Here is a 24,320-nt window from a genome sequence, read left to right as displayed (position 1 = left end):
AATGCTACAATGAAAATGAAAGTGCAGACATCGTTATGAGGTGATTATTTCATCTCTTTTAGGCATATATTCAAAAGAGGAATTGCTGGGTCATATAGTAGTTCTGTTGTAGATTTCTTTAAGAGCCTGAATACTGTTTTCCACAAAGGTTGTACCAGTCTGCATTCCCACCAACAATGTACTAGGGTTCACTTTGCTTGATGCCCTCGCCAACATTCATCTCTCATCTTTTTTTTCCTTTTTTTTTTTCTTTTTGCAATGGAGTTTCGTTCTTGTTTCCCAGGCTGGGGGGCAATGGTGAGATCTCAGCTACCGCAACCTCCGCCTCCCGGGATCAAGCGATTCTCCTGCCTCGGCCTCCCGAGTAGCTGGGCTTACAGGCATGCACCACCACGCCCAACTAATTTTGTCTTTTTAGTAGAGACGGGCTTTCTCCATGTTGGTCAGGCTGGTCTCGAACTCCCGACCTCAGGTGATCCGCCCGCCACGGCTTCCCAAAGTGCTGGGATTACCGGCTTGAACCACCGCGCCCGGCCTCTCCTATCTTTTTGATGATAGTTCTCCTTAAGGATGTGAGGTGATATCTCACAGTGGTTTTAATTTGCATTTCCCTGATGATTAGTGATGTAGAGCACCTTCTCATATACCTGCTGGCCTTTTTTATGCCTTCTTTGGAAAAACGTCTGTTCAGACCCTTTGCCCATTTTAAAATCAGGTTATTTGTTTTTCTGCTATTGATTTATAAGAGTTCTTTATAAATTTTGGATATTAACCCCTTATCAGATATGTGGTTTGCAAATATTTTTTCCCAGTCCGTGGATCGCCGATTCATTCTGTTGATTGTTTCCTTTGCTATGTAGAAGCTTTTTAATTTGATGTAGTCCCATTTGTCTACTAATTTTTGCTTTTGTAGTCTGATCTTTTGGTGTAATATCAAAAAAATATATATATATATATTTGGTCTTTTATCCATTTTGAGTTGATTTTTGTGTATGGCGTAAGATAAGGGTCAAATTTCCTTCTTTTGCATGTGGAAATCTAGTTTTCCTGGCAGCATTTACGGAAGAGGCTATCCTTTTCCCATTTTGTCCTCTTGGTGCCCTTATTGAAAATTAGTTCATCATATATGTTTGGATTTATTCCCAGGCTCTCTGTTCTGTTCCTTTAGTTTCTATTTTTATGCCAGTATCATGCCTTTTTTTTTTTTTTTTTTCTTGAGACAAGTCTTGCTCTGTCACCCAGGCTGCAGTGCACGGCTCACTGCAGCCTCGATCTCCCGGGCTCAAGTGATCCTCCTGCCTCAGCCCCCCAAGTATCTGGGACTACAGGTGCATGCCACAGCGCCTGTCTAATTTTTGTATTTTTCATAGAGACAGGGTTTCCCTATGTTTGCCCAGGCTGGTCTTGAACTCCTGGGCTCAAACAATCCACCTGCCTCATCCTCCCAAAATGCTGGGATTGCAAGCGTGAGCCACCACGCTGGGTCCCTTTTTTTTTGAGACTTAGTTTCACTTTTGTCGCCCAGGCTGGAGTGCAATGGTGCGATCTCGGCTCACTGCAACCTCCGCCTCCCGGCTTCAAACAATTCTCCTGCCTCAGCCTCCCGAGTAGCTGGGATTACAGGTATGAAGCCTGTAATTAGCCATCATGGCTGGCTAATTTTGTATTTTTAGTAGAGACAGGATTTCACCATGTTGGTCAGGCTGGTCTCGAACTCCTGACCTCAAGTGATCCACCCGCCTTGGCCTCCCAAAGTGTTGGGATTACAGGCGTGAGCCACGGCGCCAGGCACGTTTTTTTTTCTTTTTTTATTATTATACTTTAAGTTTTAGGGTACATGTGCACATTGTGCAGGTTAGTTACATACGTATACATGTGCCATGCTGGTGTGCTGCACCCACTAACTTGTCATCTAGCATTAGATATATCTCCCAATGCTATCCCTCCCCCCTCCCCCCACCCTACAACAGTCCCCAGAGTGTGATGTCCTTCCTGTGTCCATGTGATCTCATTGTTCAATTCCCACCTATGAGTGAGGCACGTTTTGATTCTTAACAAGGACAATTGTGCCACCTGTGGAGACGCCTTTGGTTTTACCACTACCCGGGATACTACTGACATCTAGTGGTTAGAGTATAGAATGCCCTACTCCCTCTAACAGAAATACCAGGTCCTGAATGTCAGTCGTGCCAATGATGAGAAACCCTTGCATAGAAAAGTAGGAGATGGCCGAGCGCGGTGGCTCACGCCTGTAATCCCAGCACTTTGGCCGGGGCGGGTGGACCATGAGGTCAGGAGTTCGAGATCAGCCTGGCCAACATGGTGAAACCCCGTCTCTACTAAAAATACAAAAATTAGCCGGGCGTGGTGGTGCGTGCCTGTAGTCCCAGCTACTCAGGAGGCTGAGGCCGGAGAATCTCTTGGACCCAAGAGGTAGAGGTTGCAGTGAGCGGAGATCGTGCCACTGCACTCCAGCCTGGGTGACAGAGACTCTGTATCAAAGAAAAAAAAAAAAAAAAGCAGGAGATACTGGCTGTAGATAAGAAGGCAGACATCTCATTGCTTGCAGAGTGAAAGAAGAAAGAACTGGTGATGTTGTTACTGGACTACTTTCGCACTAGTGTCAAGAAGGTGAGAAATCTCTCGAATCTAGGATAAGAGAAAAAATAAAGAAGGTGAGAAATCTTTCTCATGGTCGTTACTATTTCTCTCTGCAGTAAGTTGTAAAATCATTTGTTATTAAACAGGGAAGTTGTGGCCGGGCGCAGTGGCTCATGCCTGTAATCCCAGCACTTTGGGAGGCCAAGGCGGGCGGATCACGAGATCAGGAAATCAAGACCATCCTGGCCAACATGGTGAAACCTCGTCTGTACTAAAAAAATACAAAAATTAGCTGAGCGTGGTGGCGCGTGCCTGTAATCCCAGCTACTCGGGAGGCTGAGGCAGGAGAATAGCTTGAACCAGGGAGTTGGAGGTTGCAGTGAGCCGAGATGGTGCCACTGAACGCTAGCCTGGGAACAGAGCAAGACTCTGTCTCAAAAAAAAAAAAAAAAAAAAAAAAAAAAGAGGGAAGTTGAGATGGTGTGAATTCAAAATCCTGCAGAAATCATGAAAAGATCTTTGCCCACTGGAAATTTCCTGAAGTGTCGAAGGCCCCTTTAGAGTAGGTGATCTCAAATTTTTTAGCGCTTCCCATATCACCGCGTGGCGGCAGAATTATGTAGGCAGGAGAGACAGATGGTTAGCGTTTTCCAGGGCAGGTATTATGATAGGACAGAGAGTAGGGAATTTGAGGTTTTGGAAAATATATGATTGAATCTCAGTTACCTAGTTAAAGAAATGAGGTTGGCCAGGCGCGGTGGCTCACGGCTGTAATCCCATAACATTGGGAGGCCAAGGTGGGTGGATCACCTGAGGTTGGGAGTTCAAGACCAGCCTGACCAACAAGGAGAAACCCCGTCTCTACTAAAAATACAAAATACCTGGGCATGGTGGCACATGCCTGTAATCGCAGCTACTCAGGAGGCTGAAGCAGGAGAATGGCTTGAACCTGGAAGCAGAGGTTGCAGTGAGCCGAGATCTTGCCATTGCACTCCAGCCTGGGCAACAAGAGCAAAACTCCATTTCAAAATAAATAAATAGAATACAAAAATTAGCTGGGCATGGTGGCGGGCACCTGTAATACCAGCTACTCAGGGAGGCTGAGGCAGGAGAATTGCTTGAACCCGGGAGGTGAGGGTTGCAGTGAGCTGAGATCACGCCATTGCACTCCAGCCAGGGCTACAGAGCAAGATTCCATCTCAAAATAAATAAAAATAAATAAATAGCAACATGGTTGAAGAATAGATGGCTTGGAGGCCTCTATGCATTAGGAGAGGAGATGCAGTAAGGCCGAAAGGGTGAAGAAGTTGGGGCCGGGTGCAGTGGCTCATGCCTGTAATCCCAGCATTTAGGGAGGCAGACAGATCACTTGAGGTCAGGAGTTCAAGTTCAGCCTGGCTAACATGGTGAAACCCCGTCTCTACTAAAACATAAAAATTAGCCAGGCATGGTGGCACACACCTGTAATCCCAGCTACTCAGGGAGGCTGAGGCAGGAGAACTGCTTGAACCCAGGAGGTAGATGTTGCAGTGAGCTGAGATTGCACTACTGCACTCCAGCCTGGGTGAAGGAGCAAAACTCTGTCTCAAAAATAAAAGAAAATAAATTATCCTGAATCATGGCATAGCTGGGTGTTTAAAGAACAGGAGTCAGGTGCCAATGACTTGAATGCATTAGGTCTCTGTGTTGATGCCAATTCAGATGAGAAGCCAGAGATGTGTCAGGGCAGCATGGGAGTTTTGATAAATGGTGAGCAATGCAGTTCAATAATGTGGATATACATTAGGGATAGAGCAGGTAAAAAAAGTTCACCATATTGCTTTGAGGTTGTACATGCCACACAAAATCAAGACCCAAGATCAAAAACACCTTGAATCCAGAAGGAGAAGATACTGGATGGGTCATGATGGAACTGCCTTTGGTGCAACAGAGAAACAGAAAACTTGTGAATTCTCTTGTTCATATGTCTTGATTTTAGGCTGGGCATGGTGGCGAAACGGTGGCTATCCCAGCTACTTAGGATCCTGAGGTGGAAAGATCAAGTGTTTGAGACCAGCCTGGGCAACATAGTGAGTTCCCATTTTTGCACACACACAAAAATAGCTGGATGTGGTGGTGCATATCTGTAGTCCCAGTCAATTGGGCGGCTGAGGCAGGAGGATTCCTTGAGTCCAGGAATTCAAGGCTGCAGTGAGCTATGATGGCATCGCTGTACTCTTGCCTGGACGACAGAGCAAGACCCTGTCTCTAAAAAAAAAATAGAAAAGAAAAAAGAAAAGCTTAAGGGGAAAGCAGAGAACATTTACTATGAGTTTCCTCATATAGCTTCAGCTTTCCCTATCTTTCACTTTTTACCTATCATTTCCTACTTAGGATCTTAAAGACCTGTCTTCTTTCTGACACCCAGGCTTGAGTGTGGTGGCACGATCTCTGTTCACTGTAACCTCCACCTCCCAGGTTCAAGTGATTCTCCTGCCTCAGCCCCCCAAGTAGCTGGGATTACAGGCACCCACCACCACACCTGGCTAATTTTTGTATTTTTAGTAGAGACGGGGTTTCACCATGTTGGCCAGGCTGGTCTCAAACTCCTGACCTCAAATGATCTGCCTCTTCGGCCTCCCAAAGTGCTGGGATTACAGGCGTGAGCCACCACGCTTGGCCTTTTTTTTGAAAGAACTGTCTTCTTAAAGACCTGTTCTCCTTAATATTTACGTTGGAAGCCATTGTCTAATTCTTTCTCATTTTTCATACATAATAGCTTTTGCCTGTCAATGTAATTTCCAATCGTAATAGAATCATTCCTTAGTAAACTACATAAAATATCAAACGATGGAAGTATCATTCCTTTGATTATGAATGCAGACATTTTTCCCCTTGTCTTCCCAAGTTTAGGGTCAATATTTAAAGAGAAACCCACACAGGCCCCATTTTTTGTCACCATCACTGCACCATTTCATACCCTATCAACTTTAGGTTTTGTTCTTCATTTGTTTCAGACTGGGTTTGGGCTTTATCTGCATTTTGTCAACATTATGTCACCATTTCTTTTCCAAAAACTTACTGTACTAGGCCATTATTGTGTTGGTATAAAGAAATACCTGATGCCAGGTGCGGTGGCTCGTGCCTATAGTTCCAGCACTTTGGGAGGCCGAGGTGTGTGGATCACTTGAAGTCAGGAGTTTGAGACCAGCATGGCCAACATGGTGAAACCTCGTCTCTACTGAAAATATAAAAATTTGCCAGGTGTCGTGTGTGCCTGTAATCCTAGCTACTCTACTCAGGAGGCTGAGGCAGGAGAATCGCTTGAACCTGGGAGGCGGAGGTTGCAGTGAGCTGAGATCACGCCACTGCACTCCAGCCAGGGCGCAGAGTGAGACTTGGTTTGAAAAAAAAAAAAAAAAAAAAAAGCAATTTCTGACTCAGAGAAAGCTGGGATTCTGTCTAAGGAGGATTCCACCAGCTCCCTAGGGGTCCGATCCTAGGATCCAAGAATGAGATACCCTCGGGATAAGAGGAAATGTGGTTGGAAGAGAATGACATACAGCTTGTCCCTTGGGGTCAGAAAGTCAACCATCCAGGAATTCCCCCTTTGTGCTCACGTCTGACCTGTGCTCATTAAGGATTTGAGCTGCCTTAGGGGAAGAAATGACAGTACTGTACACATCTAGCTAATGAGCAGCTTTGAAAATTGAGCTCCTAGGGGCCACAGAGACTGCAAATAATCTACCGGTGACCACTCCACTCAACAGCCCCGCTCATGTTAGGAAACATCACACCTGAGTCTTGCTCCAGAGATGATCCCTCTTGCCCAAGAGTGGGTTGCCTTACTTGGTTCATCTGCCCTTCTTGGGGATAGATCTTCCATTTCATCTTACAATTCTCCAAGAAAAAAAATGGAGAATTCCTTACTGATGCCTTCAAGGTAATCTGAAATGCTCCCAATAAATGCTGTGAGAAACTGAACAAGTTTTTTATTTTATTTTTTCTCCCATCTTATCTGGAGGACAACCATAAAGTAAGAGACAATTCAGCAGAATTGTTATAAGTGAGATTCCAAACTAATCGGTGACCCTTTTCATGATATATTTACTTCCCCTGTTTTCTTACAATTTATAATCAGATTTCATTATTTTCAGCTCTCATTCTGTCTTCTAAATCCTAGGGACTCCTTCCCTACCTAAGTATGAATTAGTCCCTTCAAAAAGGAATCTGGCCAAGTGCGGTGGCTCACGCATGTAGTCCCAGCACTTTGGGAACCAAGGCGGATCAATCACCTGAGGTCAGGAGTTCAAGACCAGCCTGGCCAACATGGTGAAACCCCATCTCTACTAAAAATACAAAAATTTAGCCGGGCATGGTGGCATGCACCTGTAATCCCAGCTACTCAGGAGGCTGAGGCAGGAGAATCGCTTGAACCCGGGAGGCAGAGGTTGCAGTGAGCTGAGATGGCACCACTGCATTCCAGCCTGGTGACAGAGCAAGACTCTGTCTCATAAAACAAACAAATAAACAAAAGGAATCTACAGTTCTCTGGTTTTCCACATTCTTTTTTTTATTTTTTGAGAAGGAGTCTCGCTCTGTCACCAGGCTGGAGTGCAGTGGCTCCATCTCAGTTCACTGCAACCTCCGCCTCCTGGGTTCCAGCGATTCTCCTGCCTCAGCCTTTTGAGTAGCTGGGATTACAGGCGCCCACCACCATGCCTGGCTAACTTTTGTATTTTTAGTAGAGATGGGGTTTCACCAAGTTGGCCAGGATGGTCTTGATCTCTTGACCTCGTGATCCGCCCACTTTGGCCTCCCAAAGTGCTGGAATTACAGACATGAGCCACCATGCCTGGCCCCATGGTTTTCCTCATTCTTTTGACTGCAGATGGGGCTTTGATGAGATGTGTCTGGCTTTTCAATCTTCACCATGTCTGTTGCCAGATTTCACCCTTAAATAACTTGACTCTTGTCCCCATCTCTTGACAGTGAGAAACTCCAGAAGAGGAAGTTGAGACCCACTCACTTACATTTCCAGTCTTTCGGTTTCTCTTTTAAAACCCCAAAACAGGCCAGATGTGGTGGTTCATGCCTGTAATCCTAGCACTTTGGGCTTACAGGCATGGGCAACATAGCAACATAGCCTGGGCAACATAGCAAGAGCTCATCTCTGCAAAAAAAAAAAATTTTTTTTAATTTTAAAAATAGATTTAAAATACTAAATATAATAATAATAACAATAAAGTATAACACTTAAACATGAAGTCCTCTTGATTTGTTTTTATTCCTCTCCTTCCCTTCCTGGGGACCACCACTCTCTGAAATTGGTGGGCATTCACTATGCTTAGTTTAACACTATTATTACATGTAATAATAGTGCCATAATTTGTGTATCTATCCCCATACTGATGTTTGTTTAGCTTCTTTCTTTCTTACTTTATTTTGAGACAGGATCTCACTCTGTCACCCAGACTGGAGTACAGTGGCTCAATCACGGCTCACAACAACCTCGACCTCCTGAGCTCAGGTGATCCTCCTACCTCAGCCTCCTGAGTAGCTAGGACTATAGGTGCATGCCACCATGCCTGACTAGTTTTTGTATTTTTTGTAGAGATGGGGTTTCACCATGTTGCCCAGGCTGGTCTCTAACTCCTGGGCTGAAGTGATCTGCCTGCCTCTACCTCCCAAAATGCTAGGATTACAGGCGCGAGCCACTGCGCCTGGCTTTTTCTTTTTTCTTTTTCTTTTCTCTGAGACAGCATCTTGCTCTGTCACCCAGGCTAGATAGAGTACAGACACACAACCCAGGCTGGTCTCAAACTCCTGGGCTCAAGTGATCCTCCCACCTCGGCCTTCCAAAGTGCTGGGATTACAGGCTTGAGCCACTGTGTCAAGCCCAGTTCTTTCTTTTCTGTACCTTATTACACTAGGAGAACCCTCAGTGGGATTTTGAGCACATGCCTTCTTTGCTCAGCCCTAAGACATTCTTCTTCTTTTTTTTTTTTTTTTTTTTTTTGAGATGGAGTCTCACTCTATCACCCAAGCTGGAGTGAAGTGGCGTGATCTCAGCTCACTGCAACCTGCACCTCCCAGGTTCAAGCAATCCTCTTGCCTTAGTCTCCAAGTAGCTGGGATTACAGGCATGCATCACCACACCTGGCTAATTTTTAAATTTTTTTAGTAGAGACGGGGTTTCACCATGTCAGCCAGGCTGGTCTCAAACTCCTGACCTCAGGTCATCTGCCCGCCTCGGCCTCCCAAAGTGCTGGGATTACAGGTGTGAGCCACCGCACCCGGCCTGACATTATTCTTGGGATATCTTCCCTGCTTCTTCCTTTTGCACCCCATCTCACCCCCATGTCCCTGAGGCATCAAGCATTGTCCACAGCTAGAAACAAAAATGATAGGAAAGGTCATTGCAGGCCAGGCGTGGTGGCTCACGCCTGTAATCCCAGAACTTTGGGAGGCCAAGGTGGGCAGATCACCTGGGGTCAGGAGTTTGAGACCAGCCTGGTCAACATGGTGAAATCACGTCTCTACCAAAAATACAAAAAGTAGCTGGGCATGGTGGTGCACACCTATAATCCCAGCTACTCAGGAGGCTGAGGCAGGAGAATCGCTTGAACCCGGGAGGCAGAGGTTGCAGTGAGCCAAGATCGTGCCACTGCACTCCAGCCTGAGCCACAGAGCGAGACTCCATCTCAAAATAAATAAATAAAAGGTTATTGCAGGACCCCTGAGCACTGTGCTAGGATACACCTATCCTAACATCTATTCATTTTTCATCCCTGCAACACCCCATGCACATTTTTATACCAGTTCCCATCGGAGAAGTGAGAAACTTGAGTCTGCTCAGAGAGGTTCAGGGACCTTCTCATGTCACGGATCCATGTCACAATTGAGGCATACATGACGGAACTGACAACTGTCTGAGTCCAAGTTTTATGCACCAATGGTTGAAGCTTTTATAATCATTTGTCTTTCTCCAGTAAAAGCCAGCTCCCGGTTGGGGGCCTGAATTTTGTTTTTGTTTGTGTATTTGGTTTTTTGTTTGTTTGTTTGAGACAGAGTTTCGCTCTGTCGCCCAGGCTGGAGTGCAGTGGCAGGATCTCGGATCACTGCAAGCTCCACCTCCCGGGTTCACGCCATTCTCCTGCCTCAGCCTCCTGAGTAGCTGGGGCTACAGGCACCCACCACCACGTCCGGCTAATTTTTTGTATTTTTAGTAGAGACGGGGTTTCACCATGTTAGCCAGGATGGTTTTGATCTCCTGACCTCGTGAACCGCCTGCCTCAGCCTTCCAAAGTTCTGGGATTACAGGCTTGAGCCGCCGCGCCCAGCTTGTTTGTGTATTTGTTTTAAGAGGCAGAGTCTTGCTCTGTTGCCCAGGCTGGCATGCAGTGACCCTATGAAAGCTCACTGCAGCTTCCAACTCCTGGGTTCAAGTGATCCTCCCAACTCAGCCTCCCAAGTTGCTGGGACTACAGACACGTACCACCGTGCCTGGCTAATTTTTAATTTAATTTAATTTTTAAAAAATGTTTACTATAGATGGGTCTTGCTACTTTGTTCAGGCTGGTCTCAAACTCCTGGCCTCAAGCGACCCTTCTGCCTCAGCCTCCCAAAGTGCTGGGATTATAGGTGTGAGCCGCTGTGTCTGGCCAGGAACTCAATTTGTGAAGCAAAGGGCTGAGATGGGCTCACTGCACCATTCAACTGTTCACATGCTGTGATTCTATAATATGTTTGCCCCAACTCCTGAGTCATCATTACAGAATTTCCTTAACTTATGGGTTTATGAGAACAGCAGGCTGATGTTTTGACATTGCCGGCATACATCAATTCTTTACTTCCTGCTTTGGGGGCCCCAGAATCAATTTCTCAAGAATCTGGATAAGCCAGAAGGAACAGGAAAGGTTTGGCGCTGACTCACACAGGACTCCTCCAGGAATCAGTGCCAAGGCTCAGGGGTTGCCTGAACCAGGGGCTGCACCAGTAATAATAGGAAGAGTGGGTGCAGTGGCTCAAGCCTGTAATCCCAGCACTTTAGGAGGCTGAGGCGGGTGGATCACTTCAAGTCAGGAGTTCAAGACCAGCCTGGCCAACATGGTGAAACCCTATCTCTGTTAAAAGTATAAAAATCAGCCAGGTGTGTTGGCACACACCTGTAGTTCCAGCTACTTGGGAGGCTGAGGCAGGAGGATCACTCAAACCCTGGAGGAAGAGGTTGCAGTGAGCTGAGATCCCACCACTGCACTCCAGCCTGGGTAGCAGAGCGAGACTCCATCTCAAAAAAAAAAAGAAAAGAAAAAAATAATGGAAAGAGGGTCTGATGCATGGCTTACTGTTAAAATTTTCTTTATTAACATTATCTGTGATACAAATGAAAGACAGATGAAGGCAAATAAAAATAGTGGGAGGGGCTTATGCTGCTAGATAAAGAGGGCTTAATTTTTATTTTCACAAACTGTAATGAGAAAGGGAAATTGGTGGGTGAGAAAGACACTGATAGGGTACCTAGGAAGGAAGTAAAGAACAGGCTGGGCATGGGGGTTCATGCCTGTCATCCCAGCTATTTGGGAGGCTGAGAGAGGAGGATTGCTTGAGCCCAGGGGGATGAGGCTACAGTGAGCTATGATCATGCCACTGCACTCCAGCATGGATGACAGAGAGAGAGAGACCCTGCAAAGAAGAAAGAAGGAAAGAAAGAAGGAGGGAAGGAAGGGAGGAAGGAAGGAAGGAAGGAAAGAAAGAGAGAGAGAGAGAGAAAGGAAGGAAGGAAGGAAAAGAGAGAGAAAGAAAGAGAGGGGGGAAGGAGGGAAGGAAGGAAGGAGAAAAAGAGGAGGGAGAGAGGGAGGGAAGGAGGGAGGGAGAGAGAGAAAGAAAGAGAAAGAAAGGAAAGGAAGAAAGAAAGAAAAAGGAGAAAGAAAGAAAGAAGGAAAGAGAAAAGAAAGAAAGAGAAAGAGAAAAAGAAAGAGGAGGGAGAGAGGGAGGGAGGGAAAGAAAAAGAAAGTAAGAAGAAAGAAAGAAAGAGAAAGAAAGAAAGACGGAGGGAGAGAGAGAAAGAAAGAAAGAGAGAGAAAGAGAAAGAGAGAGAGGGAGAGAGAGAAAGAAAGAAAGAAAGAAAGAAAGAAAAAGAAAGGAAGGAAGGAAGGAAGAAAGAAAGAAAGAAGGAAGGAAGGAAGGAAAAAAGGTCTATAACTTATAACTGGTTTGGTTTTGATAATATTGACAAGATCAAGACTCATCAACAACATGAAAGCAGGAAACTTCTCAGACACTCCAGAATTCTTTCTCTTGGGATTGTCAGGGGATCCGGAGCTGCAGCCCATCCTCTTCATGCTGTTCCTGTCCATGTACCTGGCCACAATGCTGGGGAACCTGCTCATCATCCTGGCCGTCAACTCTGACTCCCACCTCCACACCCCCATGTACTTCCTCCTCTCTATCCTGTCCTTGGTCGACATCTGTTTCACCTCCACCACGATGCCCAAGATGCTGGTGAACATCCAGGCACAGGCTCAATCCATCAATTACACAGGCTGCCTCACCCAAATCTGCTTTGTCCTGGTTTTTGTTGGATTGGAAAATGGAATTCTGGTCATGATGGCCTATGATCGATTTGTGGCCATCTGTCACCCACTGAGGTACAATGTCATCATGAACCCCAAACTCTGTGGGCTGCTGCTTCTGCTGTCCTTCATCGTTAGTGTCCTGGATGCTCTGCTGCACACGTTGATGGTGCTACAGCTGACCTTCTGCATAGACCTGGAAATTCCCCACTTTTTCTGTGAACTAGCTCATATTCTCAAGCTCGCCTGTTCTGATGTCCTCATCAATAACATCCTGGTGTATTTGGTGACCAGCCTGTTAGGTGTTGTTCCTCTCTCTGGGATCATTTTCTCTTACACACGAATTGTCTCCTCTGTCATGAAAATTCCATCAGCTGGTGGAAAGTATAAAGCTTTTTCCATCTGCGGGTCACATTTAATCGTTGTTTCCTTGTTTTATGGAACAGGGTTTGGGGTGTACCTTAGTTCTGGGGCTACCCACTCCTCCAGGAAGGGTGCAATAGCATCAGTGATGTATACCGTGGTCACCCCCATGCTGAACCCACTCATTTACAGCCTGAGAAACAAGGACATGTTGAAGGCTTTGAGGAAACTAATATCTAGGATACCATCTTTCCATTGATGTCTCAGCTTCTTGGGCTTACACTGCTGGGATATGTCAGGGAGAAAGAAGTAATGAGAAGTCTTGAAAGCCTGACTAATGTCTTTGGGGTTTTCTGTTTTTGTTTTTGTTTTTGTTTGTTTGTTTGTTTTTTGAGATGGAGTCTCGCTCTGTTGACCAGACTGGAGTGTAGTGACGCAATCTTGGCTCACTGCAACCTCCGCCTCCTGGGTTCAAGCGATTCTCCTGCTTCAGCCTCCGGAGTAGCTGGGATTACAGGCACGTGCCACCAAGCCCAGCTAATTTTTCTATTTTTAATAGAGACGGGGTTTCACCACATTGGCCAGGATGGTCTCGAACTCCTGACCTCAGGTGATCTGCCCGTCTCAGCCTCCCAAAGTGCTGGGATTACAGGCATGAGCCACTGTGCCCCACCTGACCAATGTCTTTGAATACATGAGACCAGAGATCAGATGGTTCAGGGTGATAGTTTTGGAATCGGACCACGTGGACTTGAGTTCTTTTTGGATTGATTGACTGACTAATTGATTTTTGAGACAGTCTCTCACTTTGTTGCCCAGGCTGGAGTGCAGTGGTGTGATCACAGCTCACTGCTGCCTCGAATTCCTGGGCTAAAGCGATCCTCTGGACTCAGCCTGACGAGTAGCTGAGACTGCAGGTGCATGCCACCACACCTGGCTTTTTTTAAATTTTTGTATCAATGCATAAGAGATGTACATTGTTTCAGGATGCATGTGATAGTGTAATACATTTGTATAATCTGCAAGGATTTGTTACTTTAGATATCCATCACCTTAAATATTTGTCTTATCTTTATGCTCCAACCATTCCAATTGTTCTCTTCTAGGTATTTTGAAATATACAATGGATTATTTTGAACTATAGTCACCCTACTGGTCTATCCAATACTAAGTCTTTTTTTAAAAAAAATTAAATTTAATTAAAAATTTAAAAACTTATTTATTTATTTATTTATTTATTTATTTATTGAGACAGAGTCTTGCTCTGTCGCCCAGTCTAGAGTGCAGTGGCTCAATTTCGGCTTACTGCAACCTCCACCTCTGGGGCTCAAGCGATTCTCCTGCCTCAGCCTCCTGAATAGCTGGGATTACAGGCGCCTGCTACTGTGCCTGGCTCATTTTTGTATTTTTAGTAGAGACAGAGTTTCACCATGTTGGCCAGGCGGGCCTTGAACTCCTGACCTCAGGTAATCTGCCCGCCTCAGCCTCCCAAAGTGCTGGGATTACAGGCATGAGCCACCATGCCCAGCTAGCTAATTTATTTTTAATTTAAAAATTAAGTAATTTATTTACAATTTAAAAATCAAGTAATTAATTTTTAATTTTAATATTAAATGATTAATTTCTTTTTTAGAGAGAGCCTTGCTCTGTTGCCGAGGTTGAACTACAGTGGTGTGATTATAACTCACTGCAGCCTCAAACTCCTGGCCTCAAACAATCCTTCTGCCTCAGCCTTCCAAAGTGCTGGGATTAAGCAGTGTGAGCCACTGTGCCCAGGTCGCCTATACTTTAAATCATTTCTAGATTACTTATATTACCTAGCATAATGTTAATCCTATGTAAATAGTTGTATTACTTAATATTGTATTTTTGTAATATTCTTATTTAATATTTTTAAAATTTTCTTTAATATTTTTAATATTTTTGATCCACAGTTGGTTGAGTCCATGAATGTGGTACTGGCAGATATGGAAGGCTGACTGTACTTGGTATATATATTGTTAAAATTGTCAGAATCAAAATGGAGTCACTTATTAAAAAAAAAAAAGGCTGGGTGTAGCGGCTATCAAAAAAGTCTGCACTTTGATAGGCTGAAGTGGGCGGATCACAAGGTCAGGAGTTCGAGACCAGCCTGGCCAACATGGTGAAACCCCATCTCTATGAAAAATACAAAAATTAGCCAGACGTTGTGGCGCATATCTGTAATCCCAGCTACTCAGGAGGCTGAGGCATGAGAATCGCTTGAACCTGGGAGGCGGAGGTTGCAGTGAGCCAAGATCGCACCACTGCATTCCAGCCTGGGCGACAGAGCAAGACTCCATCTCATGAAAAACAAACAAACAAACAAAAATGAAAAAAACAAAAACATCCTGACAAGTAAAGCTAGGGAAGGCCATGAAGAGATTTATTTCACTTGCATGCCTAATAACAAAAACTATCACAAGACTACAAAAACTATCACGAGACGACAAAAACTATCACGAGACGACAAAAACCACAACCTTGCACAAAAGGCTGTTGCAACCTTACACAAAAAATATTTCTGCAAGTACATCTGCCCAGCAACTGCCTGTCCAGCTTCAGACTGGCATCACCCTTGTTATTAGTTATTACTGTGAAGGATAATTATTTCAAAACAATTATGTAACCTTCCTCATTTTTCCATTAAAAAACTTTGTCTTCCTTTACCTCCTTGAATGCATACATAGTTTATGATGGCACGCGTATCGCTATTGCAATGCTTTCTTTGGCAATAAACATCATTTTCTTTTAGATAGCCTCTTTCTGTTATTTAGGTTGACTATCTATAGTTATATTGATTTATGTTTGTGCTGTTGAATTTCAAAGGAATTGAAATCAATATGCTGAAGAGATATCTGCACTCTCATGTTCATTGCAGTATTAGTCACAATAGCCAGGAAATGTAATCAACCTGAATGTCCATCAACATATAAGTGGATAAAGAAAATGTGGTATGGCAGGCACGGTGGCTCACGCCTGTAATCCCAGCACTTTGGGAGCCTGAGGTAGGTAGATTACTTGAGGTCAGGAGTTCAAGACTAGCCTGGCCAACATGGTGAAACCGTGTCTCCACTAAAAATACAAAAATTAGCCAGGCATGATGACGTATGCCTGTAATCCCAGCTACTCAGGAGGCTGAGGCAGGAGAATCACTTGAACCCAGGAGGCGGAGGTTGCAGTGAGCCGAGATCGCACCACTGCACTCTAGCCTGGGCAACAGAGTGAGACTTTGTCTGGAAAAGAAAAAGAAAATGTGGTATATGATAGAGTACTATGCACCCTTTAAAAAGAAGGAAATTCTGTCATTCGCCACAACATGGAGGAACCTGGAGAACATTATGCTAAGTGAAATAAGCCAGGTACAGAAAGACAAATACTGCATGATCTCAACCATGTGTAGAATCCAAAAGAGCTGATCTCATAAAATCAGAATAAAATAATGGCTACTGCAGTCAGGCACGGTGGCTGATGCCTGTAATCCCAGCACTTTGGGAGGCCGAGGCGGGTGGATCACGAGGTTAGGAGTTCAAGACCAGCCTGCCCAACATGGTGAAACACTGTCTCTACTAAAAATACAAAAATTATCCGGGTGTGGTGACGCTTGCTTGTAGTCCCAGCTACTCAGGAGGCTGAGGCAGGAGAATCACTTGAACCTGGGAGGCGGAGGTTGCAGTGAGCCGAGATCATGCCACTGCACTCCAGCTTGGGTGACAGAGGGAGACTCCGACTCAAAAAAAAAAAAAAAAAAACAATAAAAATAAATAAATAAAAATAACTTTCTGGTCTATTTTGCAACTTGCATATTTGGTGATATTCTTCTCTCTGGGGTCATGTTTTCTTATTCTCAAATAGCCTTGTCTGTTTTGAGAATGCCGTCAGCAAGTAATAAAGCTTTTTTCAGCTGTGAGTCTCACCTCCCATTTGTTTCCCGATTCTACAGGGCGGGTTGGGGGGTGTACATTAGCTCTGCCGTTTCTGACTCTTCAAGGAGGGCTGCGGTGGCTTCAGTGATGTACACAGTGGTCACACCTATTATGAACCCCTTTATCTACAGCCTGAGGAACAGAGATATGAAGAGAGCCTCGGGGAAACTCATTGGTAGGATAACTTCTCTTCCTGATTATGTTGTCCACTTTGGACTTGGGATTCAAAGTGGGTCAAAGACACAGAAATACTGGTGAGCCAGAATGCCTGACTGATCTATCACTGAGTTTTCTAAAATGATTAGATAACATAGTGGGTAAGTACATTTTAACTTGGGGTTGAAACATCACTTGTTCTTTGTGTGTAGCTCTGTGATTGTACGAAAACGAGTTCCACGGCCGGGCGCGGTGGCTCACGTCTGTAATCCCAGCACTTTGGGAGGCCGAGGCGGGAGGATCACGAGGTCAGGAGATCGAGACCATCCTGGCTAACACGGTGAAACCCCGTCTCGAATAAGAATACAAAAAATTAGCCGGGCGTGGTGGCGGGCACCCGTAGTCCCAGCTACTTGGGAGGCTGAAGCGGGTGAATGGCGTGAACCCAGGAGGCGGAGCTTGCAGTGACCTGAGATGCCGCACTGCACTCCAGCCTGGGCGACAGAGCGAGACTCCGTCTCAAAATAAATAAATAAATAAATAAAAATTAAAAATAAATAATAAAAAAAAATTAGTTCCATTCTCCAAGCTCAGTTTTTCTCTTTTTCTTTTTCTTTTTCTTTCTTTCTTTTTTTTTTTTTTTTGAGACAGAGTCTGTTCTGTCACCCAGGCTGGAGTGCAGTGGTGCAGTCTCGGCTCACTGTAGCCTCCGCCTCCTAGGTTCAAGCAATTCTCATGCTTCAGTCTCCGGAGTAACAAGGATTACAGGCAAGCATCACCACGCCCAGCTAATTTTTTTCTATTTTTAGTAGAGACGGGGTTTCGCCATGTTGGCCAGGGTGATCTCGAACTCCTGGGATCAAGAGATTCTCCCGCCTCGGCCTCCCAACGTGCTGGGATTACAGGCCTGAGTCACCAGGCCGACCACCACCACATTTCTTATCAACCCTGGGACAACACATTCTACCCTTAACGCTACTTCATTTCCTGCTCACTTTCCACAGAGTCAGCAAACTTTCCCCAAGGTGGTATCTGAACACTTGCCTCATGACTTTTCCCTTTCTGAGTCTCTGAACATTTCAATTTTTTCTTTATTTTGGTTTTAGAGACACAATCTTGCTGTGTTGCCCAGGCTGGAGAACCAGAAATAGAAATAAAACTAATTTTTGTGACTTTCAATGTGATAAAGCAATAAGATGAGAAAACTTTTATTAATTTCTGGTTCAAAGACATATTTTAGTGTGACATAATCATAAATATTCATGTAATAGTAGTGCCAGTAACAACCAAGAAAAAAACAGAGAAAATTTATCAAAAAATAGCTACAACCAAAGGCTCACATCCAAGAAGCAACTGAAGTAGCTTACACACCTCCAGAAAAAGATTTTACTCTCTTTTAAAATGATTTCTAGAAATAACTGTTTTTTAAAAATCCTGAATAGCCAAGATAACCCTATGCAAAAGGAACAAAGCTGGAGGCATCACACTATCTGACTCCAAACTACACTACAGGGCTACAGTAATCAAAACAGCATGGTTCTTGTACAAGAACAGACAAATAGACCAATGGAACGGAATAGAGAACCCAGAAATAAGACCGCACACCTTCAACTATCTGATCTTTGACAAACCTGACAAAAACAAGCAATGGGAAAAGGATTCCCTACTCAATCAATGGTGCTGGGATAACTGGCTAGCCATATGCAGAAGATTGAAACTGTACCCCTTCCTTAAATTATATACAAAAATTAACTTAAGACAGATTAAAGACTTAAATGTAAAACCCAAAACTATAAATACCCCAGAAGACAACCTAGGTAATACCATTTAGAACATAGGCACGAGCAAAGATTTCATGATGAAGACACCAAAAGCAACTGCAACAAAAGCAAAAATTGGCAAATGGGATCTAATTAAACTAGAGAGCTTCTAAACAGCGAAAGAAACTATCATCACAGTGAACAAACAACCTACAGAATGGGAGAAAATTTTTGCAATCTATCCATCTGATGAAGGTCTAATATCCAGCATCTTTAAGGAACTTAAACCAATTTACAAGAAAAAAAAACCATTTAAAAAGTGAGCAAAGAACATGAACAGACATTTTTCAAAAGAAGACATATAGGCGGCCAACAATCATATAAAAAAAAGCTCAATATCACTGATCATTAGGGAAATGCAAATCAAAACCACAGTGAGATATCATCTCACATCAATCAGAATGGCTATTACTAAAAAGCCAAAAAATAACAGATGCTGGCAAGGCTGTGGAGAAAAAGGAACACTTATACACTGTCAGTGGGAGTGTAAATTAGTTCAACCATTGTGGAAGGCAGTGTGGGAATTCCTCAGAGACCTAAAGACAGAATACCATTAGACCCAGCAATCCCATTACTGGGTATGTACCCAAAGGAATATGAATCATTGTACTATAAAGACACAAGCACACATTATGTTCATTGCAGCACTATTCACAATAGCAAAGACATGGAATCAATCTAAATGCCCATCACTGATAGAATGGATAAAGAAAATGTGGTACATACACACCATAGAATACTATGCAGCCATAAAAAAGAATGAGATCATGTTCTTTGCAGGAAAATGGATGGAGCTGGATGCCATTATCCTTAGCAAACTAGTGTAGGAACAGAAAACCAAAGACCACGTGTTCTCACTTATAAGTGGGAGCTAAATGATGAGAACATATGGACACATAGAGGGGAAAAACATACACTGTGGCCTATTGAAGGGTGAAGGGCTGGAGGAGGCAGGGATCAGGAAAAATAACTAATGGGTACCAGGCTCAATACCTGGGTAATGAAATAATTGGTACAACAAACTCCCATGACACAAGTTTGCCTATGTACAAACTTGCATATGTGCCCCTGAATTAAAATAAAAATTAAAAAAATAAAATAGACTGGGCATGGTGGCTCATGCCTATAATCCCAACACTTTGGGAGGCAGAGGTGGGTGGATCCCCTGAGGTCAGGAGTTCCAGACCAGCCTAACAAACATGGTGAAATCCCATCTCTACTAAAAATACAAAAATTAGCTGGGAGTGGTGGCAGGCGCCTGTAATCCCAGCTACTTGGGAGGCTGAGGCAGGAGAATCGCTTGAACCCAGGAGGCAGAGGTTGCAGTGAGCCGAGATTGCGCCACTGCACTCCAGGCTGGGTGAAAGAGCAAGACTCCATCTCAAAAAAAAAAAAAAAGAAAGAAAAAAAGAAAAGTGGATGATGTACACTTGGCCTCTAGGGTCAGGACAGCAGCCATCCTGAATTTCTCCCTTGTTCTGCAAGGATTTAAGCACCCTGGGATTACAGTGCCAACACAAATTCCTTGGCTAATGAGGAGCTTTGGCAATTGAGCCGCTAGGGAGGCAGAGACTACAATGTACCAGTGACCACCGCATTCATGAGCCACTGTGCCCAGCCAGAAGCTTTTATTTCTTATAAGAGAAAGAAACTCTGACTATAATTTACATGAATAAGAAACAGAGTTATTTTTTATGACAAGAACTTCAGGGGTAAGAAATGCATGGGAGCAGTAGTGTGGGGATTCATGCAAGCCTCGGGAAGATGGCTCCATGTCTGTGCTGATTTTCCTCTTGCAAACAGATGTCTGCAGAAATGTAGGCATCATATTCAGACATGGTGCTCAGAGAAAACCGACGGTCTTTCTGTAGGTCTGCTGTGAAGAGAGTCTATTTGTAATAGAAATTTTCTTTTTAAATTTTATTTTTATTTACTTGTTTATTAGAGACAGGGTCTCACTCTGTCACTCAGGCTGGAGTGCAGTGCCACGATCATGGCTCACTGCAGCCTTGAACTCCTGGGCCTCAGCGACCCTGAGTAGCTGGAACTACAAATGAGTGAGTGCCACCACACCTGGAGATATACATATATATATAATCCTCTATATGTATAATTATATGTATATTACACAAATATATTCTAATTGTATAATTTTAGGATTAGCTGTAGTCTCAGTGCTCCCGTGCAAAACTGTTTACTGTGTCTTCACTAGGAAGATTACTCTGTAGAGAAATACTTTCATTTGAGAAGGAGATGTCGAGTGTAAGACAAGACAGGAGAAAATGGAAGTTGGCAAGATTTTGGGGCATAATTTTTTTCTATAAGCACACACACACACACACACACACACACACGCAGGATCATCAGTCAGAATTATCTCTCTAAGTGTGAGGAGCAAACAATGGAGGTGTCAAAAGAGAATCAAAGGAGTGGGTGGAGAGTCTTCTGTTGCAGCTGTCTTTGGAGCTTGAGGAGCTGGCTTTATTTTCACCAAAATATCTGGGAAGCCAGGCATGGTGGCTCGTGGCTGTAGTCCCAGCTACTTGGGAGGCTGAAGCGTGAGGATTGCTTGAGGCCAGGAGTTTGAGACCAGCCTGGGCAACATGGCAAGATCCTGTCTCTAAAAAACCCCCAAAACAAAACAAAAAGCTCTTACATATCTGGAACGCAGCTCCTATTCTAGCACTCATAGAGTCTCCTAGGACTGAGATTCCTCTGTTGGTGTCCACAGAACAGACACAGAGAGGAACCACCCGAGACCTTTCCTCATAGAGAAGGTTCTTGGCCTTGCCCGAGAACTACTGGTGTTAAATCTCTGAGAAATGTGTGAGGTATGAGAATTTTTAATAAGCACTTGGAGAGATGCTGATAACCTCTGAAGCCTGACACTCCTAACTTTAATATTAGGAGAACATGAGAAAACATATTTAGGGTTAGAATATGAAGGGTCTTTCTTTAATCATACTTGTTACATTATCATATACAAAGTAATGCATAAAATCTATCTATCTGTAGGTAGTGTAGAGCACAGTGGCTCACGCCTGTAATCCCAGCACTTTGGGAGGCGGAGGTGGGCAGATCACAAGGTCAGGATATGGAGACCATCCTGGCTAACGCAGTGATACCCGTCTCTACTAAAAATACAAAAAATTAGCCGGCCGTGGTGGCGGGCGTCTGTAGTCCCAGCTACTCAGGAGGCTGAGGCAGGAGAATGGCGTGAACCTGGGAGGCGGAGCTTGCTGTGAGCCGAGATCGTGCCACTGCACTCCAACCTGGGCGACAGAACGAGACACTGTCTCAGGAAAAAAAAAAAAATCTATCTGTAATTCTGAGAGAATAGTAACATGATAAAACCGCATATACCTATCTGGCATTAAAAATAAGTTAATGTCATCACCATAGAACCTACCTGTAGGATTTTCTACTCAAATCACCTTGTTTTCTTCCAGCAACAAATACACTATCCTGAATTCTGTAGTTACCATTTTCTTTGAAAACAGGATGACTGTTATAAAATTCTCTGTAATTTACTTGCAGTCTTGTGGGGGAGAGGAGGTGAGCAGCTTGCTAAACTTCACCTTATCTTCACTTTCCTGTGGTGTTTTTTTTTTTTTTAATGGAGTTTTGCTCCGTTGCCCAGGCTGGAGTATAATGGCATGATCTCAGCTCACTGCAACCTCCGCCCCCTGGGTTCAAGCGATTCTCCTTTCCTGGTTCTTGACACAGCTTTGTATTATTTCTGTTGGCTGGCGTGAAGTCTCTGGGGGTCCAGACAGAGTCTTCCAGCCGTTTTCCTGGTATGTACTTTGTTTTATTTTATTTATTTTTTGTTTTTTCATTACCAAATATTTTTAATAATCAGAACAGCAGAGTGGTGGCACATGCCTGTAATCCCAGCTACTCAGGAGGCTGAGGAAGGAGAATCGCTTGAACCTGGGAGGCGGAGGTTGCAGTGAACCAAGTTTGTGCCACTGCACTCCAGCCTGGGCAACAAGAGCGAAACTCCATCTCAAAAAAAAAAAGATGAGGCTGGGCGTGGTGGCTCACGCCTGTAAACCCAGCATTTTGGGAAGCCAAGTTGGGCAGATCACTTGAGGCCAGGCATTTGAGAGCAGCCTGGCCAACATGGCAAAACCCCGTCTCTACTAAAAATACAAAAATTAGCCAGGTGTTGTGGCAAGCATCTTTAATCCCAGCTACTTGGGAGGCTCAGGCAGGAGAATTGCTTGAAACCAGGAGGCAGAGGTTGCAGTGAGCCAGGATCAAGCCACTGCACTCCAGCCTGGCCACAGAGCAAGACTCTGTCTCAAAAATAAATAAATAAATTTAAAAAATAAATAAATAAAAATAAAAAATGATGACCCCTTAACCATTTCCAGAATTAACAATTATTGATGCTGTGCTGTATTAGCTTCAAGTTTTGTAAAAGCAGTAAAGTAATATCAATACAAAAGGCAACACTTATTTATTTTCTTCCCTTAGAATCTACCCCTTTTCAAGATGGTGTTTGCCTCTGTTGACGTTGCTCCCGCAGTCTAGAAAACACATTTGATTGTCTAATTATCCCATTTTTTGATCATCAAAAACATGGGACCCAGAAACCAAACAGCTGTTTCAGAATTTCTTCTCATGAAAGTGACAGAGGACCCAGAACTGAAGTTAATCCCTTTCAGCCTGTTCCTGTCCATGTACCTGGTCACCATCCTGGGGAACCTGCTCATTCTCCTGGCTGTCATCTCTGACTCCCACCTCCACACCCCCATGTACTTCCTTCTCTTTAATCTCTCCTTTACTGACATCTGTTTAACCACAACCACAGTCCCAAAGATCCTAGTGAACATCCAAGCTCAGAATCAGAGTATCACTTACACAGGCTGCCTCACCCAGATCTGTCTTGTCTTGGTTTTTGCTGGCTTGGAAAGTTGCTTTCTTGCAGTCATGGCCTACGACCGCTATGTGGCCATTTGCCACCCACTGAGGTACACAGTCCTCATGAATGTCCATTTCTGGGGCTTGCTGATTCTTCTCTCCATGTTCATGAGCACTATGGATGCCCTGGTTCAGAGTCTGATGGTATTGCAGCTGTCCTTCTGCAAAAACGTTGAAATCCCTTTGTTCTTCTGTGAAGTCGTTCAGGTCATCAAGCTCGCCTGTTCTGACACCCTCATCAACAACATCCTCATATATTTTGCAAGTAGTGTATTTGGTGCAATTCCTCTCTCTGGAATAATTTTCTCTTATTCTCAAATAGTCACCTCTGTTCTGAGAATGCCATCAGCAAGAGGAAAGTATAAAGCGTTTTCCACCTGTGGCTGTCACCTCTCTGTTTTTTCCTTGTTCTATGGGACAGCTTTTGGGGTGTACATTAGTTCTGCTGTTGCTGAGTCTTCCCGAATTACTGCTGTGGCTTCAGTGATGTACACTGTGGTCCCTCAAATGATGAACCCCTTCATCTACAGCCTGAGAAATAAGGAGATGAAGAAAGCTTTGAGGAAACTTATTGGTAGGCTGTTTCCTTTTTAGCGATCTTTGTCCTCTGCTTTGAATTGGAGCTTCTAAAATAAATCATCATAACAGGATTCCTTGGTAAGCCAGAGTGCCTGACTCTTGCATCGAGATTTACTTTTTTTTTTTTTTTTCGAGGCAGAATCTCGCTCTGTCGCCCAGGCTGGAGTACAGTGGCACGATCTCGGCTCACTGCAAACTCCGCCTCCCGGGTTCATGCAATTCTCCTGCCTCGGCCTCCCGAGTAGCTGGGATTACAGGCACACACCACCACACCTGGATTTTTTTTGTATTTTTAGTAGAGATGGGGTTTCACCAGGTTGGCCAGGGTGGTCTCGAACTCCTGACTTCAGGTAATCCACCCACCTCGGCCTCCC

At 44.2% G+C, this 24,320-nt stretch overlaps 2 protein-coding genes and 1 pseudogene across 2 annotated transcripts; all 3 read left to right on the top strand.

The window, feature by feature from the left end:
• The first annotated feature begins 11,838 nt into the window (after positions 1–11,838).
• OR7G3 (olfactory receptor family 7 subfamily G member 3) lies at positions 11,839–12,777 on the top strand. Its single transcript, NM_001001958.1, has one exon. The coding sequence runs from the start codon at positions 11,839–11,841 to the stop codon at positions 12,775–12,777; it is 939 nt and encodes a 312-aa protein (NP_001001958.1).
• Positions 16,303–16,706, top strand: OR7G15P (olfactory receptor family 7 subfamily G member 15 pseudogene; annotated as a pseudogene).
• OR7G1 (olfactory receptor family 7 subfamily G member 1) lies at positions 23,026–23,961 on the top strand. Its single transcript, NM_001005192.2, has one exon. The coding sequence runs from the start codon at positions 23,026–23,028 to the stop codon at positions 23,959–23,961; it is 936 nt and encodes a 311-aa protein (NP_001005192.2).

This window comes from Homo sapiens, chromosome 19 (genome assembly GCF_000001405.40).
Source record: "Homo sapiens chromosome 19, GRCh38.p14 Primary Assembly".
Taxonomy (NCBI): Eukaryota; Metazoa; Chordata; class Mammalia; order Primates; family Hominidae; genus Homo; species Homo sapiens.
The sequence above is the reverse complement of the archived record's forward strand: the minus strand, read 5'-3'. Positions and strand labels throughout refer to the sequence as shown.

Coding starts and splice junctions, on each gene's coding strand:
- OR7G3 (NM_001001958.1), top strand. CDS start 11,839: ATGAAAGCAGGAAACTTCTCAGACACTCCAGAATTCTTTCTCTTGGGA.
- OR7G1 (NM_001005192.2), top strand. CDS start 23,026: ATGGGACCCAGAAACCAAACAGCTGTTTCAGAATTTCTTCTCATGAAA.